This window comes from Homo sapiens, chromosome 10, assembly GCF_000001405.40.
Source record: "Homo sapiens chromosome 10, GRCh38.p14 Primary Assembly".
In the NCBI taxonomy this organism is placed as follows: domain Eukaryota; kingdom Metazoa; phylum Chordata; class Mammalia; order Primates; family Hominidae; genus Homo; species Homo sapiens.
Genome location: NC_000010.11, coordinates 6,203,848 through 6,223,716, shown reverse-complemented (window position 1 = coordinate 6,223,716; position 19,869 = coordinate 6,203,848). Strand labels below are relative to the sequence as shown.

The following is a 19,869-nucleotide window of genomic DNA, read 5'->3' as shown; positions in this document are numbered from 1 at the left end:
TGAACCTGGGAGGTGGAGGTTGCAGTGAGTGCATGCATTGCACTGCAGCCTGCGCAAGAAGAGCAAAACTTTGTCTCAAAAAAAAGAAATGAGACATGAGGGTGGGGGAGGCATGGAAAGACCTTTACGGTCCCCCCAACAAGGACCCTCGGAAGCCCTGTCGGGCAGGGGCATCTGTCCCCAGCCACAAGCTGTCCCGGGCAGCAGCTGGCCCCAGAAGAAGACTTTAGCCCAAAGAGTGCCATCAAACCAAACCAAAAGACTCGCCCTCACGGTGACTTAGAGTTGGGAAAAAGTCACTCCCAAACAATTTAGGTCTGTCTAGGGATTCAGCTGCACTGGACTGGACATGCTAAGACTTAACATTTCAATGGGATTGTCAGAGTTTTCCGGGCTGTTTGTTCCTTAGAGGGCACTGAAGAGAAGTGCAGCCCCCACCCCAAGCCAAGACCCTGGGATGTGTGGAGCCAGGGGCGGGTCTCAGGGAGCTGTTTATGAAGCAATGAAGTCCCCGGCATCAACCTGGGCTCCACAGCATTTCCCAAGGGCTTCAAGGAAGCGCTGGACAGAGAGGACCTGAAGCAGCCGGGAGCCGACACCTGTGCCCTTCTCCTAACACCCCATGGCACAGCAGCCAACACAGGGCAGGCCACGGCAGGTCTGCGGCTGACCCCCCGCCGAGTGCCAGTCCCCTCCTCCCTCCATCCCGGGGCCACGACCTGCCCGAGGTACCTGCACTCTTATCCAGGAAGTAGGCAAGCAGGCAGCGCAGGACGGCCTGGTGGCAGATGACCAGCACATTCTCCTGCCGCTCCAGCTCCATGATCACTGGCTCCAAGCGCTGGACCAGGTCCTGGTAGGACTGAGCACAGAGGGCCGGGCCCACGTGAGCTCAGGGCACTCGGGAGGGGCTCTGCCGCTGGCCACAGACTGCATCAGACCGGCCAGAGAGCCACGCAAAATCAATCATCCATCATCAGCAGTGGTTGAGAAGGAGCAGGGTTTAACGTGGACTATTGCTCAGCCACAAAAAGAGTGAAGCCCTCCCCACTCCGCTCCCACACGGGGGAACCTGGAAAACTCAATGCTGTGTGAAAGAACTGGGCGCAAAAGGCACGTGTGGCATCTGACTCCACTGACATGGAATGCCCAGAATAGGCAGATCCAGATGCAGGAAGCAGACGGGCCGGTGCCGGGGCTGGGCCGGGCAGGCGGGAGCGGCTCCTAACAGGTCTGGGTTTCTTTGTGCAGTGAGGGAAAGGCCTGGAATTTGTGGTGATGGCTGCACAGCACTGTGAGTACACTAACATGCACTAAATCATAACTTTAACGTGATGAAAGTGGTCAATTTTAGGTTATGTGTATTTTCTATCAATTTAAAAATGTAAAAAGAAGCAGGAGGGCTGTGACTTTAGAAAAAGACCAGAAAAGCTCCTGCTCCTGTGGGCTCTCTGCTGTGCTAACCAGGGCCCCGGTGTGTAAGGCTTAGTCTGAGGCCAGAGGACAGTGGGCCTGCAGGGGCCTGAGGCACGACACTGCTCAGCAGGGCACGGGCAGGGAGGACACACCAGGCCCAGGAGGATCCCATCGGCAGAGGAGGCAACAGCGTCCTCAGCCACAGCCACCCGGGCACCGTGCACGGGGAAGCACAGACGCTGCCCAGGGGATATAGAGCCACCCCTCCTGCCAGCCTGCCCACCACCCTGCCCAGTGGACCTTCACACACCACCTTCCTCCTCTCCCATATAGTTCTATGTCCCTAGGGAAACACATCTCACTTCTGCTTATGGGAAAATGCACTTCACCCCAGGCTGTTAGAAGGTTCAGTTTGGGGGGACTCAGTTCCAAGGTGGAGGGTGTAGGAGCCCCCAGAACCCACACGGAAGTGAACTCCCTGGAGGGGTGGCCCAGCCCTGCACAGCAGTGGTCATGTGTGCTGGGGACCGTCAGCCCGCCCCAGCCTGCGCTCACCTCCCCGGTGGGGTAGCGGTAATAGTACTTGTCCTGCTCCCGCAGCGCATACTCCTCAGGGTAGGTGTCCCTGATCTCCTCGTAGGTCAGCTCCTCACAGACGCCCTGCGGGGACCCAGTGGTCACTCAGGGGAACAAACCACAGGGGTGTCTAGGGCCTCTTGGGAAGCCGCCCCATGCCCGAGGGTGAGGCTGCCTGCCCGCCTCCCAGGACTCACCGCGTCGATCTCATTGAGCGCCTTCCACTGCTCGTAGGGCAGCCGCAGCGCCTCGGCCGTCTGGATGGTGCTCTTCAGCTGGCTGGTCCACACGCGCAGGTCCTTCAGGTTCTGCTCCTCCACGAACTTGCTCAGAGCACTGGCAAACTGAGAGGTGGTGGAGGGGGACCACTGATTCCAGATGCCCGCAGCTCCTCCAAGAGCCAGGGCTGGAGCAGGCAGCCCACGTAGGGCTGTGCACTACCTGGTTACACCGTGGGGGCCCCAGGCCACTGGGACAGCCACAGCCGCACACACCCTACCCAGAGACCAGGCTCAGCTCTTCCTGCCCCTTCCCTTCCTAGTGCACAACCGCGCACACATCACACACATGCACAGAGATACACACACCAGAGACACACATACAAACACATACAAAGTAACACAAAGACACACACACACAAAGCCACATGGATAGGCGTAGACACACACACACACAGAGCCATACAGAGATGCACACAGATATGCATAGAGACGTGCAGGCGCACACACAGATAACACACACAGCAAGCACACCAAGCAGCAGCAGCAGCAGCAGCAGCAGCACACAGCTCCCCACCCACCCTATAGACCCTGCAACCGCCCTACAGCCAGAACGGCCCATGCGGCAGCACACCCCGCACCTTCTTGCCCCGGCTGGACAGGCCTGAGTCGCCCCCGATGCGGCCCTGGAGGTTGTGCTCGTTCTCGCCGTGCCGGCACAGGTAGATGGTACGCGGCTGCACGTGGATGTTCATCAGGTAGTACACGATGCGGCTCTGGATGTGGTCCTGCACCCGGTTCACCAGGAACCTCCGGCCCACGTCAATCACCTTGATCAGCGACAAGTCCCTGCAGAGAGACCCCACCGAGAACCACAGCTCAGGCCACCACCCACAGCAGGATGCACCTGGCCCGTCTCCGAAGATGTGATCCCCAGAGAACAGCAAGGCGGGACCGTAGGCCCCTCCAGGGCACAGACTGAATCCTTCTAAGGGGCAGAGCATATGCGTAAGACAACTCCCACAGCTGGTGTCTGGCTGTGAGGCTGGCCTGCCTCCCAGAAAAGGGGGAGAAAAAAGAAAGAAAATGGAGAAAAAAAGAAAGGGGCCTGTGCAGTGGCTCATGCCTGTAATCCCAGCACTTTGGGAGGCCGAGGCAAGAGGATTGCTTGAGTCTAGAAGTTCAAGACCAGCCTGGGCAACATAGCAAGACCTCATCTCTACTAAAGAAAAAAAAAATTAGCTGGGCGTGGACACCCACACCTGTAGTCCCAGTTACTCATGAGGCTGAGGCGGTAGGATTACTTGAGCCCAGAAGTTTGAACCTGCAGTGAGCTATGATCATGCCACTGCACTCTAGCCTGGGAGACAAAGGGAGACCCTGTCTCTAAGCAAGCAGGCAAGCAAGTAAGTAAGTAAATAAATAAATAAATAAATGGAAAGAAAGGAAAGAAAAAAGAAAGGAACTATCGGAGGGACAGTAGCAAAATCAGGCTCAACTCTATGTTGACTTCCTGTACTTCTACACAGTGTTCAAAATATTCCCACTGAATATGATTTGTCATCAAGGATTGTTTTTAAAAGATATTTTCAAAGAGAGTTGATAAAGGTATCCAGCGGCTGTATGTGGATCACCTGAGGCCAGGAGCTCAAGACCAGCCCGGGCAACATAGCGAGACCTCATCTCTACAAAAAAAACTGTCTTAAAAAAATTTTTTTAAAGGTATCCAGGAGCAAATCCTTTGTGGGAACATCAAGAATTCAGTAAGAACCCTCATGTGGGTCTTGCAGAGACGGCCAGCCACGGGAATCACCTGTCGCATTTGTCGGGGTCGAGGGGCTGGTAGCTGGCTTCATAGCAACTGATCCTCTTCATGAAGTCGTCCATGGCTTCTGCCGAGTTGCAGTCTTTGTAATCCGGGCTGGAGATTTTAACTTCCTGCAACACCACAAAGGGGTGGCTGATAAATCACGCTGGAAGGCTTTCTGCTGAGATTAAGCAGGATTTGGGGCTTTCAAAAGGGGAGCGCACAGAAGGCTCAGTATAAAGATTATCCGGCCCAGCGTGTAAGAGAAAGGGAGAAAGATGCTGGGGGCTGAGTCACAGCCTGATGTTACATGGGGAGGATTCCCTGGGGAGATGGAGAACTGAAGCCGGAAGGACAGAGACAGGAAACCCACAGGGATTCCATAATGAACACCTCTGAATGCTCCAGCAAGTCAGGATCTGTCCCGTGCCCGAGTCACCGCCAGACAGCCTGGCGCTGAACTCAACCGAGCTCCACGTGAGGATCCGCAATGCTCCCCGTGCCGGGAGGAGGCTGCTGGTTCTAAGGTATGCTCAGGAGTTCCCAGAGATGCCTCTGGCCTTGTGTGGTTTCTCCTCCACCCCCCACTGCCTGAGGCAGCCCCAGTGTGACCAGTCCGTGGTTAACTGCTTCTCCAACTAGGGCTGTGCCGGCTCCTTTGCAGGGCTCGCTCTCCTAGGCAACAACACAGGTCTACCAACACCCACAGTGGCACAGGCCCCAGAAACCAGGTGGATTTTAGGGAAACTCAGCATTTCTGAATGCCTGGGCTCTTTTTCTCATCAACCACTGCCGTCACTGAGAGGCAGCCACTCTTCAAAGATCGAGTCAGTCGGGAGCTGTGCCTGTGTCCTGGCACAGTTTCAGCCGGGGAAGATGAGAAAGTCCTGCGGATAGAGTGTGGCGGTTGCCCAACAATGGGAATATAATTTGCTGCTGTACTGCACACTTAAAAAATAGCTAAAATGGCCGGATGCAGTGGCTCACGCCTGTAATCCCAGCACTTTGGGAGGCCAAGGCAAGCAGATCACTTGAGGTCAGGAGTTTGAGACCAGCCTGGCCAACACAGTGAAACCCCCGTCTCCTCTAAAAATACAAAAAAAATTAGCTGGGCGTGGTGGCGCACACCTGTAATCCCAGCTATTCGGGAGGCTGAGGCAGGAGAATCGCTTGAACCCGGGAGGCAGAGGTTGCAGTGAGCCAAGACCGTGTCACTGCATTCCAGCCTGGGCAACAGAAGGAGAGTCCGTTTCAATAAATAAATAAATAAATAAATAAATAAATAAATAATAAAAATGATTAAGATGGTAAATTTTACATTATGTATATTTTACCACAATTTAAAAAAAAAATCTAAGTTCACAAATGCCTGGCTCTACCAAGCTGCTTTGAGATTTCATCAGAAAGAGATTTCTGAACATGGTGGGTTGGGGCAAATGATTATCTGCTAGTGGACAACCAGACAAATGCTAAACTCCTTGCTAAGCACATTGGTGACCACTCACTGGGAAAAATGACTTCACAGCTGCACCCTGCTGTCTACCAAGGGGAACAACGAGTGCCCAGCCAAAGAAAGGTGGCAAACCCTCATACTCTGAGCCTCCTGCTCCCACTGGACAAATCTAAACTGACTTTTCACAATTCAAATAGCCCTTCCTGAAACAGGAATTCATTTCCTAAAGATATCTAGAAATACTTCCACCACCTTGGGGAAGATACCGGGGCTAACACATGCTTAGCATCCCCTCTAAAGGTGCAAAGATGCCAGCACCACAGCGTCCCAGTGTTAAGTTTTCAGAACTGCTTTTCTTTATAGAATTGTCATATTCTGATATGTTTAAGCTGAAGAGGAAATTATCTCCAACACAGGGTGGCAGCTTGTAGTAAGTCTCCATAGTAACCATTCCTGTTTATATATATTGCTATCAAGTGGTAACACTGGAGAAATTCATCAAGTTATGATGCCAAGTGCCCTCAATTTATCTGGGCAAGCTCCCCTGCACAGCACAGACAGGAGGGTTTGTGGCAGGTTCACGAGATGCATCAGCAGGAGGAGAGTCTTACCTCCCAAACTCAGGAGGCTGCTGAGCCCTATGGACTTTTGCCAATGCCCAAGCATTCTTACCTCCTGGAGCTGTAGCAAGTGATCCACTTGCTGCCACCTGTCCCATTAGGGGCAGTGAGCGGCCCTCTGCCCCAGCAGCTCCATCACCACTAGCTGTCAGGCTCCTGCCACCAACAGAAACTAATCCTATCTCCCTGAATTATTTCCTACGTCCCATCCAAGCCTGCCCACTGCCCTGGATGGAGCTAGTCCCTCACAGGACAGGCCTCTGGGTTAAAAACCGCTCTGTAGGTCTGACCTCCCAATCAACAGCCAGCTGGGGGCTGCTCATCCTAAGGGCTCAGCTGCGCTTCCGAGCCGGACCCGGTCCCCCACTTCCTCAGACTGCAAATGCCCTTGTGGTCTACGCTGCCGCAGAAGCACGGGGCTCCCGGCTGTCTTACCATGATATTGGAGGCCACAACTGTAGGGTCGTCGCACACCGACTCGATGAAAAACGCCTGGTGGAAGTGAGGTGGGGATGTTAGAAAACAAACACCACGAAGGATCAACCTTGCCATCACTGCGATGTCATCACCCGGACAAGGCGGAAGCACGCCACCCACCAACTCCCAAACACAGGAAAGCCCACCTCCTCACTGCAGCCTCTGGAACGCCCCATGGCCCCCAAGAGCCCTACCACACAAAGGCCCAAATTTAAGGCCACAAAACGTGGGCAGCAGGAGGGGAGGGACCGAGCAGGACTAAGGAACATGGGCAGCAGGAGGGGAAGGACCAAGCAGGACTCAGGCCGCTTCCTGAAGCCTTTTCCTCTCTCCCGAGCCCTCTAGCACAACACAAGACGCTCAGCTCACCTTAAAGTCATTTTCTTTGGCAAAATGAAGGATCATGTGTCTCCTCTCTCTAGTAGTATTGGTGGCATCGAAAACCTGATATGGAGAGCAAAGGGCCAGGAAGAAAACTCTAAGTTTGAGTTTAACAACGTTTACCAGAACAGCAAAGATGCCAGACCCATCATCTCCAGGAATAAGCCCCAAAAGTGCTTCAGGGGAGCTTGTGCCTGCCCACAGTCCTCTCCAGGGAGTGCTTAGGAGGCAGGCCTCCCGCAACTACCAACAGCACTCAGGGGTGGTAGCGTGGGGGAAATACCCCAAAAGCAAACAAGCAAAACAGTAATGTGCAATGGGACAGTGTACAAGGAAGGGCCAGTGGTCCTGTGGGTAACTCGAGTCCTGCCCGCCCTGGAGGTGTGGGACTGGCCACAGAGGGGGTGGGTCCCTGAGTCCACCCCACATCCTCCTTCCTGAGCCATTGGGCTGCCCTGGCCACCTGCTTTCCTCCACCCTCAGGGCCAGAGGCACAGGTCTCGGTACACCCCAGGCCGGTGAGGACACCCTCATGGGTGGGACTGGACACCGAGCCGGCTACATTGCCTGGACTTACCGCAATTTGTCCCCCTTCTTTCGCCAGGTAGCTTTTGACATCTCTCAAGGCAGCTAAGGCACATTGCCTGGAATGCACAAGACATTGCCCGAATGTCAGCGCCGGTGCATCCGCTGGGGCAGCCCAAGCAACTCCCGACACGCCCCGACAAGCAGAGTAACTGGTGGTTCCATTCTACACTGCTTAGCGCTGGGCAGGCTGGCCAGCACCCCTCAGGCCCAGAGGCTTCCAACCTGGGGCCCCACACGGGTGGCCTCAGGAACCCTCGGGAGGCGGTGCTCAAACCGGGCTGCACGCGGGAACCACTCCTGGGGAGCTGCTAAGAAATGGCTGCCCAGAGCCACCCACAGAGTTGCACTAACTGGTCTGGGGTGGGGCCTGGCATCAGGGATTTTAGCATCCCCCAGGAGACTCCAGCATACAGCCGGGGCTGAACACCCTTGCACTAGGGTTTCACAATCAACTCGCACTTAACAAGAAATCCTTTCCAAACATAAACAGACACTCCCGATGAACAGGACTTGCTAATTCTCAGTGAGGGTGCTTCTGCGGCTCTGTCCCAGTGAGGGTCAGCTCAGCGAGACCCTCAGGGGACAGATGAGAGCAGCAACCTTGTTCCCACACTGCACAGCCCTGAAGCCACCAGCAGGACCCACCCGCAGGCCGGCTTTCTCTGCCTCCTACAGAGCCTGGCTCAGAACAAAGCAAGCCCAAGCCCGCAGCCCAGCCTTACACCCGCAGCCCCGCAGCCCAGCCTTATTCCCACAGCCCAGCCCTACGCCCGCGGCCCAGCCTTACTCCTGCAGCCCAGCCTTATGCCCGCGGCCCAGCCTTATTCCCACAGCCCAGCCCTACGCCCGCGGCCCAGCCTTACTTCCGGACTTTCATGGCTTCCTCATTGTCGGGGCGGAAGAAGTTGTAGGAGCTGTACTGCTTCACAGCCTCCCGGCGATACTCCCCGACGTTGAACACTGTGGACGGGAAAGAGAACAGTCTGGATGATCGAGCAGGAGGAAGGGGCCAGCTCACACCGGGACCATAGGATCGACCAAAGGAAGAGCCACCAGGCCAACCACACCGACTTGAATGAGATGGTGTGGAAGCAATGCCGGCGCCCAGTCCTACGCTACCCTCAACTCCTGAGGACAGCAGGGCACAGGCTGCCCGGCTTCCCCAGTCCAGCTGCAATGCCCCTGCCGCATGCTCTGCGACACTGTCCCCTCCAGCCAAGTCTACAATCTCAGTCCCACAATATCCTAAACCAGAGACTGAGACTGTGAGGATGGGTGGGGGGAGGCCCCAAGTCTAGCAAAAATAGGGACAACACATTTCCACCAATGGTATCAGAAAGCGAGTGGGGCCTCATGCCCACCGCCAGATCTAGGTCAACCCTTCTGCTGGTGCAGCCGCCAGGGCCAGGGCCGGAGACATGTGTCCCATGGTTCCTGGGCACTGAGCTGGGCACAGCGGGGATGGTAAACATAAAAACCATCCTTTCAAAAGAGGGGAGGGTGGGAGATGAGCAAGGGTTAAAAAATAACCAGTTGGGTACAATGTTCACTATCTGGGTAACAGGTTCACTAGAAGCCCAATCCCCAATCAATATGCAATATACTCAGGTAACAAACATGCACATGTACCCGAATCTAAAATAAAATTAATTGAAAAAAAAAAAATACCCAGTGCCTATCCACAAGATGTTCCCCATCTAGTTGGGAAGACCAAGCAGAGATTCTTAAATGTGTCATCCACAACAGCAGTCCCCATCCTTTTTGGCACCAGGGACCACTTTCGTGGAAGACAATTTTGCCACGGACAGGGAGGGGTTGTGGGTGTACGGCTTTGGGATGAAACTGTTCCACCTCAGATCATCAGGCATTAGATTATCATAAGGAGCACACAACCTAGATCCATCACATGCCCAGTTCACAATAGGGTTCACTCCCATGGGAATCTAATGCCACCACTGATCAGACTGGAGGCGGAGCTCAGGCAGGAATGCGCACTCACTGCCACTCACCTCCTGCAGCCAGGTTCCTAACAGGCCACCCAACATAGCAGTCCACAGCCTGGGGGTTGAAGACCCTTGATCTACGGTAGGCAGTGCTTAGGGCTATCAGCAGAGGAATGTTAGCTAGGACTGAGTGCGACAGGAATGTAAAGGACTGAGGTGGCTGGAGATGGCTTTGAAGGAGGTGAAATCTGAGTCGGGGCAGGACTTAGAGGAGTGGGAAAGAGAATGGCCAGTGAGGAGAAAACCCCAACAGAAGAAAAAGGGTGTAGACACAGTGTGAAGGGGACCCAGCTGCATGGGAGGCAGGATCAGACTCCCCGACCAGGGGACAGAGGCGCCCAGGGGTGGTCCTGCCTGTGAAACCAGCAACTGAGATGGAAGGTCAAGTTTTTGCACGAGCAGGGGTCCGGCCTCGAGACCCAGTCTCACCTTTTGTGGGGACGCCAATCCAGTTGAGGTAGCGAGTCAGCTTCTTGGAGATGTAGGTCTTGCCCCGGGCGGGGAGGCCCACCATGACGATGACGGTGGGGGAGTTGGTCAGCTTTGGCCCACAGGCTGGAAAAACAAGCAAGAAGGGTGTGTCATCAACCAAGTGACCGGAGAAGAGGAGCAGAGGCCACACCCAACAATAACACTGAAGAATTTCACCAAAAATGTTTTTGAGACAGGGTCTCACTCTGTTGCCCAGGCGGGAGCACGGTGGCCACCATGATTACTGCAGCCTCAAACCTCTAGACTTAAACAATCCTCCGGCCTTAGCCTCCCCAATAGCTGGGACTACAAGTGTGTACACCACCATCCCTGGCTAATTTTTTATCTTTGTAGAGATGGGGTCTCGCTGTGTTGCCCAGGCTGGTCTCGAAGTCCTGGTCTCAAACAATCCTCCCAGAGTGCTGGGATTACAGGCATAGCTACCACACCCAGCATTCATCGAAATTTTCATTTCATCTCCCCATCCTGAAGCCCCTGGCATTGTACCACAGTGGGACCAGGCAACCCTAGTGGCCACAGCCCCCCAGCCACACCCTGTCCCTCAGTCCTGCCTTTAGGTTCTACTTGGCAAAGACAGTCCCAACCCCAAATTCCTGAGCTGATACCCAGGGCGCTAAACCTAGCAGGGAACCAGTGACTGACACCACAGTGAAAGTGGAAATGCTCCTGCGGGTGGGAGGAAAGGATTCCTCTCCCGAGGGAGAGTGGGGCTAAGAGTCAAGAGGGTGGATTCCAATACAACATGGGGACAGAGGGGCAGGGGCTGGGGCCCAGGGGTCAAGAGACAGAGAGGCCCACCATCAATATCCAAACCTCCACACAGAGGTATGGGCAGAGTTTCTAAAAAAAATCTTTAAAAAGGCAATTTTTAAAAGTAGGAGTTTACAGCCAGGCGCGGTGGTTCATGCCTGTGATCCCAGCCCTTTGGGAGGCCGAGGCAAGAGGATCACTTGAGACCATGAGTTTGAGACCAGCCTGGGCAACATAGCAAGGCCCTGCCTCTACAAACAAATAAATTAAAAAATAATTAGAAGAAAAGAGTTTATCAAATGAAAGTAGGTCAGGGAGGCAGAATGCTAAAATTACCCCAGTGGACAGGTAAATCCTCCACCCGAGCCTCTCACGCCCTGTCTGACCCCCTCTTCTGGTGCCAGGCTCGGATGAATGCTGGGGCCCTGCCGAGGGAAGGGCCGGTCACGAAGCCTCAGCCAGGGGCCGGCTCCACCACTGTCTCCAGGAAACCTGGAGATGCTCTTGCCTGCCAGCTCCCTCCTGGCTTCCGCTGCTACATGACGGTCTTGGCATCTCAGTAAGACAAAACAGCAGGAAGGGGGGTTTTGCTGGGTTTTTCAGAAAGCAGCCAGAAGCCCCCTGTTCTGGGAGCCGAGGGCCCAGTATCTCCCCGGCTGTCGCCTGGCCCTGGGAGTCTCAGGCAACTCCCGCATCCTGCCGACATGCAAGCTCCAGGGCCAGATGATACCCGCCAGCTCCCGCCTGGGCGGCACGGCCCAGCACTCACTGCCACGTGGTTAGCCTGGCTGTCCTCATCATTCCCAGACACAGCCCACATGGCCTGCAGGAAAACCTCTGAAAGCCGCACACAGAACCAGGCAGATGTCAGACTGGACAGAGGCCCTGATGTCCGAGCTGAGCAGGCTTATGCTGCGGGAGCCACCACCCCTCAGACGGGCCGCAGCTCAGGAAAGAAGCCCCTCTGTAAGCCGGAGCCCCCAGCAGGGCTCCAAACTGAAGTCAATGTCCAGGATCTGCCGCTAGGCCTGGAGGTGGGGGCAGGGAAGCAGGCATGGCATGCCGGGCCTTTGTCCCCTCCATGCTATTTGGAGACCATTAGTGGCCTTCTCAGCAGGCAGAGTAAGGAGACAGACAGGCTATCAGCAGATGAGGAGACGCTAAAAGCCCTGGGCTGCCATGCTCTTGATGTCCAGTGACCTAGAACAAACAGTTCCTCGAAAACAGATGCTTTTCACTGCCCAGGGTGAGCCGGGCATCCTGAGCACATGAGTGGAACAAACAAGCACAAAGCACCAAGCACCCAGGGGCTTTCTTGTGTCCCCAGGGGCACACGGAGAGATGGTGGCCTCCCCGAAAGCCAGTGAGGCACACCCCACCGTGCCCAGGGTCATTCTGGCAGCTGTAGCTGCCATATCAGGAAAGTAGCAGCAACTCCTTGGAAACAATACCCATCCACTGACCCTTCCCCTAGGCCAAGGGTCCCTCCTGGTCTTACCAGGTGTCCCCACTGCACCGCTGCTCCTAAGAGCACCCAGATATGCAGAGACAGACGCACACACATACTCTCAGCTGTGCACATACGCAGAATATTTCTGTCGGAACCACGCCAAGGAAGCAGAGGCTGATTGATTTATCCAACAGGGGATTATGTCTACCCACTAATCATAGGAACAAATGTCCTCTGGCAGTAGACATTTAGGGAGGGAAAATAACAATAACAACAATAAAGACAGCAGAGTAAATACACAGGGCAAAAGGTCAGACTGGATTTCAAACCCAAATAAACTGCCAGTCCCTTCTTGGCAAAGCAGAGCCATTCTCCCTATGCACTGCTCTGTCGCATAGTAAGATTCAAAGAGAGGGGCGCTATAACTGGGGATATAGCTCAGGGGTAGAGCATTTGACTGCAGAACAAGAGAGGGGCGCACCGGGCACGGTGGCTCACGCCTGTAATCCCAGCCCTCTGGGAGGCCGAGGCGGGTGGATCATGAGGTCAGGAGATCAAGACTATCCTGGCTAACACGGCGAAACCCCGTCTATTAAAAACACTATCAAGACTATCCTGGCTAACATGGCGAAACCCCGTCTATTAAAAACACTATCAAGACTATCCTGGCTAACATGGCGAAACCCCGTCTATTAAAAACACTATCAAGACTATCCTGGCTAACATGGCGAAACCCCGTCTATTAAAAACACTATCAAGACTATCCTGGCTAACATGGCGAAACCCCGTCTATTAAAAACACTATCAAGACTATCCTGGCTAACATGGCGAAACCCCGTCTATTAAAAACACTATCAAGACTATCCTGGCTAACATGGCGAAACCCCGTCTATTAAAAACACTATCAAGACTATCCTGGCTAACATGGCGAAACCCCGTCTATTAAAAACACAAAAAATTAGCCGGCCATGTTGGCGGGCGCCTGTAGTCCCAGCTACTCGGGAGGCTGAGGCAGGAGAATGGCGTGAACCCGGGAGGCGGAGCTTGCAGTGAGCCGAGATAGCGCCACTGCACTCCAGCCTGGGTGACAGAGCGAAACTTCGTCTCAAAAAAAAAAAAAACAAAAAAACAAAAAAAAACAAAAAAAAACAAAGAGAGGGGCGCCTGAGGTGTTTGCACCTGTCCCTCCCTTCAGACACCCACCACTGTCTTGGACAGATGGGGTAATCACAAATCCTTACTAAATCTTTTTGTCTTATTCTCCAACCTCAGCCCCTTTTAAAAACTCACAGCACATCTCATGTTTCTAATTCTGTGACCCTCAGTTTCTTCTTCTCTTCTCAATGGGCCTTTTTACCACCAAAAAAGAGACACCCCCCACCCGCCTCATCACCCTCCCTGGCAAGGCACAGTGATTAGAAAAGATAAGTATTAGGCCGGGCACGGTGGCTCACGCCTGTAATCCCAGCACTTTGGGAGGCCGAGGCGGGCGGATCACAAGGTCAGGAGATCGAGACCACAGCGAAACCCCATCTCTATTAAAAATACAAAACATTAGCCAGGCGTGATGGCAGGCGCCTGTAGTCCCAGCTACTCAGGAGGCTAAGCCAGGAGAATGGCGTGAACCTGGGAGGCGCAGCTTGCAGTGAGCCAAGGTCACGCCACTGCACTCCAGTCTGGGTGACAGAGTGAGACACCGTCTCAAAAAAAAAAAAAAAAAGAAAAGGTAAGTATTGGCTGGGCATGGTCTCCCAGCACTTTGGGCAGCAGAGGAGGGCAGACCACCTGAGGTCAGGAGTTCGAAACCAGCCTGGTCAACATGGCAAAACCCCGTCTATACTAAAAATACAAAAATTAGCCAGGCGTGGTAGCAGGCACCTGTAATCCCATCTGCTGAGGTAGGAGAATCGCTTGAACCTGGGAGGCAGAGGTTGCAGTGAGCCGAGATTGTACCAATGCACTCCAGCCTGGGAAACAGAGCAAAACTCTGTCTCAAAAAAACAAAAAAAAAATTATTGAGTTTAACACAAGATTTTCCAAAGAGTATTTGTGTCTCATTTCATTTTATGTAAATGTTCAATATTTTAACTTCTTTTTCACACACCTAAAGTTTTTGAAAGTTGTGAAACTTAAATGTGTTTAGATGTGGACTTTAGAGGTCAACTGAAACATGCCTGGGGGAACACAGATGTCACCGGGTTACAGGGGAAGGAACAACTGTGTAAAGACCCTGGGTAACAGACTAAACACCCGAATTGAATCTGGGGGACTCGAGCTCAAAGTGTTGTCATGGTTACAACCATGGCCACGTGGGTAAGTCCTCCCAGAAAGTCACCAAGTCCCAGGCACGGAACTTCAATTCTGCAAGGTTGCTACGTTCATGACACGCTCGCTCACTGGGCACATGCACCAGGTACATGCACTGGGTACCCGTGAGACAGAGGCTACTTGGGGGATACAGGGTCAATGTGGCTGAGTAGTGCCTTTGGGCTAAGCCCTGGCTGTCTACAAGCCCGCAGTACCATTAGTGTACAACGGAGACTGCCTACTGGGGCCCGTTCCCTGCAGGCAAACATACACAGGAAGCCAAAAGAAAACTGAAGGCTGGCTGGTGAACACTCAGCCGTGGGATACAGTGACACAAGGAGCCAGTTATGGAAAGCAGCAGCCAGATGGATGGTGAATCCCCCACCTGGACAGTGAGAGGCTGGCACCCCCGGGTTCCTACTCCTGCTCTCCCGGATAGATTAAGTTACTAACCTCTCTGATGGTGTGCAATGCACAGACAGACAGGCAGCAGCCCGCACAGCCTGTATCCCCCACTGACTCAAACCCTAACACAGAATGCATCCCCAGTAAATAAACTGTAGGGGCTACCCAGGGATAAGGCAGGGATTTCTCTAGGACATCACCCACCCAGCTTCCTTAAGCTAGAACACCAGCAGCCGGCGTAACTCGCTACTGAGATGAAAGTCTTTCTATCCGTATTTGAGTGCCACATCAACCTTTCTTCAGACTCAATTTCCCATGGTGTCTAAATCCTGAGCAAAGACAAGCTGGCAGTTTGTCTCATTCCACTGTTTTTAAGAGGCAAAAAAAAAAAAAAAAAAAAAAGGCCAGGTACCCTGGCTTACACCTGTAATCCCAGCACTTTGGGAGGCCAAGGGGGCATTGCTTGAGGCCAGGAATTCGAGACCAGCTTGGGCAACATAGAGAGACCCCGTTTGTGCAAAAATATTTTTAAAAATTAGCTGGGCGCAGTAGCACATGCCCCTAGTCCCAGCTACTCAGGAGGCTGAGACAGGATTGCTTGAGCCCAGGAGTTCAAGGCTTCAATGAGACGTGATTGCACCATTGCACTCCAGCCTGGGTGACAGTGAGACCCTGTCTCAAAAAACAAAGTTTGGTGCTTTAAAAGGCTGTCTTTTACCTGTTGCTTACAAACCTGCACTGGCCTGACCAGTACTAATACCCCCTCCTTTGCTCCACTGATCATGGCAACTTCTGATGTAATGCCAAGTCCCAAGCACCATCTTAGGACTCAGCCCGGTACCCAGGATCCCTCAGAACACACAGGCTCTTGAATTTTAGTGACGATGAACAGAAAGGAAAGCTAGACCTTGCCAGTCAAAAAGGTACTTCTTGACCATTATGCTGACTCACAAATTCAGTAAGTCAGCAGGAGTTACAGGATGCATGCGAAGGAAGCTACAGGTTTTGTAAGAAGCATTTACCATCATGTTGATGTAGCAACAGGGCATCCCGTTAAGGTGCCTCCAAGGCAAGAATATAATGCAGCTTATTGATATAGTAATTTTTGTTTTGTTGTTTTACTGTTCTTTGTCTATAAAAAGCAGGGTCCTAGACACCCTCTTCAGCAATAAACCTCAGGGAGGCTGGGAATGGTAGCACATGCCTGTAACCTCAGCACTTTGGGAGGCCAAGGTGGGAGGATCACTTGAGGCCAGGAGTTCGAGATCAGCCTGAGCAACATAGCAAGACCCCATCTCTATGAAAAAATTTTTTTAAGCTCCAGCTCCCTCTCCCTCTCCCTCTCCCCACGGTCTCCCTCTGATGCCGAGCCAAAGCTGGACTGTACTGCTGCCATCTCGGCTCACTGCAACCTCCCTGCCTGATTCTCCTGCCTCAGCCTGCCGAGTGCCTGCGATTGCAGGAGGCGCCGCCACGCCTGACTGGTTTTCGTATTTTTTTGGTGGAGACGGGGTTTCGCTGTGTTGGCCGGGCTGGTCTCCAGCTCCTAACCGCGAGTGATCCGCCAGCCTCGGCCTCCCGAGGTGCCGGGATTGCAGACGGAGTCTCGTTCACTCAGTGCTCAATGGTGCCCAGGCTGGGGTGCAGTGGCGTGATCTCGGCTCGCTACAACTTCCACCTCCCAGCCGCCTGCCTTGGCCTCCCAAAGTGCCGAGATTGCAGCCTCTGCCCGGCCGCCACCCCATCTGGGAAGTGAGGAGCGTCTCTGCCTGGCCACCCATCGTCTGGGATGTGAGGAGCCCCTCTGCCTGGCTGCCCAGTCTGGAAAGTGAGGAGTGTCTCTGCCTGGCCGCCCATCGTCTGGGATGTGAGGAGCCCCTCTGCCTGGCTGCCCAGTCTGGAAAGTGAGGAGCGTCTCTGCCCGGCCGCCACCCCGTCTGGGAAGTGAGGAGCGTCTCTGCCCGGCCGCCCATCGTCTGGGATGTGAGGACCCCCTCTGCCTGGCTGCCCAGTCTGGAAAGTGAGGAGCGCCTCTTCCTGGCCGCCATCCCATCTAGGCAGTGAGGAGCATCTCTGCCCGGCCGCCCATCGTCTGAGATGTGGGGAGCGTCTCTGCCCCGCCGCCCCATCTGGGATGTGAGGAGCGTCTCCGCCCGGCAGCCACCCCGTCCGGGAGGGAGGTGGGGGGGTCAGCCCCTGCCCGGCCAGCCGCCCCGTCCGGGAGGTGAGGGGCGCCTCTGCCCGGCCGCCCCTACTGGGAAGTGAGGAGCCCCTCTGCCCGGCCACCACCCCGTCTGGGAGGTGTACCCAACAGCTCATTGAGAACGGGCCATGACGACAATGGCGGTTTTGTGGAATAGAAAGGGGGGAAAGGGGCGGGGAAAGATTGAGAAATCGGATGGTTGCTGTGTCTGTGTAGAAAGAAGTAGACATGGGAGACTTTTCATTTTGTTCTGTACTAAGAAAAATTCTTATGCCTTGGGATCCTGTTGATCTATGACCTTACCCCCAACCCTGTGCTCTCTGAAACATGTGCTGTGTCCACTCAGGGTTGGATGGATTAAGGGCGGTGCAAGATGTGCTTTGTTGAACAGATGCTTGAAGGCAGCATGCTCGTTGAGAGTCATCACCACTCCCTAATCTCAAGTACCCAGGGACACAAACACTCTGCCTAGGAAAACCAGAGACCTTTGTTCACTTGTTTATCTGCTGACCTTCCCTCCACTATTGTCCTATGACCCTGCCAAATCCCCCTCTGCGAGAAACACCCAAGAATGATCAATTAAAAAAAAAAAAAAATTTTTTTTAATTAGCCGGGTGTGGTGGTGCACACTTATAGTCCCGGCTACTGGACAGGCTGAGGCGGGAGCATCACTTGAGCCCAAGAGTTGGTGGTTACAGTGAGCTATGGTCGCACCACTGCCCTCCAGCCTGGGTGACAGTGTGAGACTCCACCTCAAAAATGAATAAATAAATAAATAAATAAATAAATAATAAACCTCAGGGAACTCTGCTGCAGACCTCCAATGAGAAGGCCACTTATAAAGGTGGCAACAAGTTTAGGAGAAAGAAAACCCACCCAGCTGGGCGTGGTGGCTCATGCCTATAATCCCAGCACTTTGGGAGGCTGAGGTGGGCGGATCACTTGAGGTCAGGAGTTCAAGACCAGCCTGGCCAACATGGTGAAACCCCGTCTTTACTAAAAATATGAAAATTAGCTGGGCATGGCGGCGTGCGCCTGTAATCCCAGCTTCTCGGGAGACTGAGGCACGAGAATCGCTTGAAACCCGGAGGCAGAAGTTGCAGTGAGCCGAGATCGCACCACTGCACTCCAGCCTCGGTGACAGAGTGAAACGCCATGTCAAAAAAAAAAAAAAAAAAAAAAGGAAGAAAGAAAAACCCACCCAATGTCCCAAATGCCATTAGAGAATCGAGGGAGGGTGTCAGGAAAGATACCAAATAGAAACACCTTCTTCCCTCCATTCCAGTAAGAGTTAAATGTGACTATATAAACTGAGAAAGACACCACCACTTGAAATAAGGATGTGCGATACCCAGGCTGCGGATCTTTTTACAAGAAGGAATGTGTCTGAGACTATACCTCAAAGCCACACAGGAGGATACCAGCAGTAGGCGGGACAAAAGAATTAATCCATTGGCTTTAGCCAAATTCCCACCCTCCAGCTCTGAATGATTCTGACAGGGATTCTTAGGCAAATCTCTCACTGCGTGTGAGACGTGCAGGTTGATGGGGTCTAATGGATCAGGATCCAAGCCTGGAGGGAGGACGCCTTGGTGCACGCTGGAGTTCTCAAGATCACAACTGAGCTGATGCCAACAGATCTCAGAGCCCTGGAAGTCACGGGACACTCCTCTCAGACCCGTGGGCATTCGTATACAATCACATGTATTTACATATGTGGGACTAGCCTCCAATGCAGTTTACAAAGTGCTATAGAGATAATACTTGCTTTATGCAAAAGTTGTTTCTGCATTTGGCCTTGGCCAAACCTCCCTGGGGATTTAAGAGCTGCATTCCACTCCACTTACAGGTTTTACACAAAGACAAGAGAACCATGGGCCACCCCAGTTCAAGCGCATCTGACTGGGCTGGGCAACACACCCACATCCCCCAGTCCTGGGCTACCTCACAAAGAGGGGGAACAAGACCTCTCCTGAGGGCTACCCCAGAACCCTGAAGTCCACCAGGGTGGATCTGCTGACGTCCCCACCCAGGGCACACCATGGGGGTGGGTGTGGGGAGAGGGGCAGGTCTGGACGAGGCCGGTGATTCAGACCGAGCAGGGCTCCAGGAGAGCTGCCAAGTCCCGCGGGGGCCGTCCTAAGAAACGTAGTAGCCGGGCAACCCTGCCTGCCAGCCGCCTGCGCTCAGGCGCCTTCGGATGACCCGAAGCCACCTCGAGAGTTTGCACCTGGATCCCACGGTCACTACTCAGGCTACGACCTGACCTGGGCAAAACCGCACCAGGCGGCTCCCTGTCCAGCCCATGGGAGCCGGGGCGCATTACCTGGAGAGGCAGCGTCGCCCCTCTGCGCTGCCCACCCGCCCTTTTCCGCGGCGGCGCTCCGCAGCTGAGGTGGAGCTCGAGGTAACCCTCTCCCAAGCGATCGCTGGTGGCGGGGGCGGCGACCGGCGGGGCGGGGCAGGGTACTGCCAGCCAATTCCGAGCACCGGGGGGTGCGTGCGCCCGGGGCGCGTGGAGCAGCGCCAACCGTGCACTCACCAACCCACCGACCCTCCCCAAAGCCGGGGACACAGGCGTGGCTCCAGGTGGCTCTCCTGGCGCCCCCAGCACGGGCGCCCCCATGGCACTGGAGATGCACGGAAGAGAGAGAAGGAGAGAGAAAGAGATAAAAGCAGAAAGAAACAGTGGGAGAGGAAGGAGGTAGAAACAGAGAAAAACA

At 54.0% G+C, this 19,869-nt stretch overlaps 1 protein-coding gene across 19 annotated transcripts in view, besides 4 other annotated features; it reads right to left on the bottom strand.

The window, feature by feature from the left end:
- The window catches only part of PFKFB3 (6-phosphofructo-2-kinase/fructose-2,6-biphosphatase 3), a 181,717-nt gene that overhangs the window by 102,921 nt on the left and 58,927 nt on the right, over positions 1-19,869 (bottom strand). For 9 of the 19 annotated variants that reach the window (XM_047425341.1, NM_001323016.2, NM_001145443.3 and 6 more), the window contains exons 2-11: positions 9,969-10,094; positions 8,400-8,496; positions 7,526-7,592; positions 6,937-7,011; positions 6,526-6,582; positions 4,024-4,148; positions 2,852-3,059; positions 2,190-2,336; positions 1,972-2,076; positions 733-862 (exon numbers count right to left, since the gene is read on the bottom strand). In XM_047425341.1, the coding sequence (XP_047281297.1) occupies positions 733-862; positions 1,972-2,076; positions 2,190-2,336; positions 2,852-3,059; positions 4,024-4,148; positions 6,526-6,582; positions 6,937-7,011; positions 7,526-7,592; positions 8,400-8,496; positions 9,969-10,094 (1,137 nt within the window). Of the gene's footprint in view, positions 1-732; positions 863-1,971; positions 2,077-2,189; positions 2,337-2,851; positions 3,060-4,023; positions 4,199-5,145; positions 5,169-6,525; positions 6,583-6,936; positions 7,012-7,525; positions 7,593-8,399; positions 8,497-9,968; positions 10,095-19,869 lie in introns of those variants that run through there. The other 10 variants (XM_047425346.1, XM_047425344.1, XM_047425342.1 and 7 more) reach the window with 6 other exon arrangements.
- Positions 4,112-4,611: an enhancer, noted in NCBI's record as "H3K4me1 hESC enhancer chr10:6261069-6261568 (GRCh37/hg19 assembly coordinates)". NCBI's record gives its function as "activates a minimal SCP1, AML or CMV promoter by ChIP-STARR-seq in naive H9 embryonic stem cells {active_cell/tissue: H9 hESC(naive)}" and the evidence as "EXISTENCE:reporter gene assay evidence [ECO:0000049][PMID:30033119]".
- Positions 4,612-5,113: an enhancer, noted in NCBI's record as "H3K4me1 hESC enhancer chr10:6260567-6261068 (GRCh37/hg19 assembly coordinates)". NCBI's record gives its function as "activates a minimal SCP1, AML or CMV promoter by ChIP-STARR-seq in naive H9 embryonic stem cells {active_cell/tissue: H9 hESC(naive)}" and the evidence as "EXISTENCE:reporter gene assay evidence [ECO:0000049][PMID:30033119]".
- Positions 18,814-19,316: an enhancer, noted in NCBI's record as "H3K4me1 hESC enhancer chr10:6246364-6246866 (GRCh37/hg19 assembly coordinates)". NCBI's record gives its function as "activates a minimal SCP1, AML or CMV promoter by ChIP-STARR-seq in naive H9 embryonic stem cells {active_cell/tissue: H9 hESC(naive)}" and the evidence as "EXISTENCE:reporter gene assay evidence [ECO:0000049][PMID:30033119]".
- Positions 19,633-19,712: a silencer, noted in NCBI's record as "silent region_2107". NCBI's record gives its function as "represses an Ori minimal core promoter by ATAC-STARR-seq in GM12878 lymphoblastoid cells {active_cell/tissue: GM12878}" and the evidence as "EXISTENCE:reporter gene assay evidence [ECO:0000049][PMID:35858748]".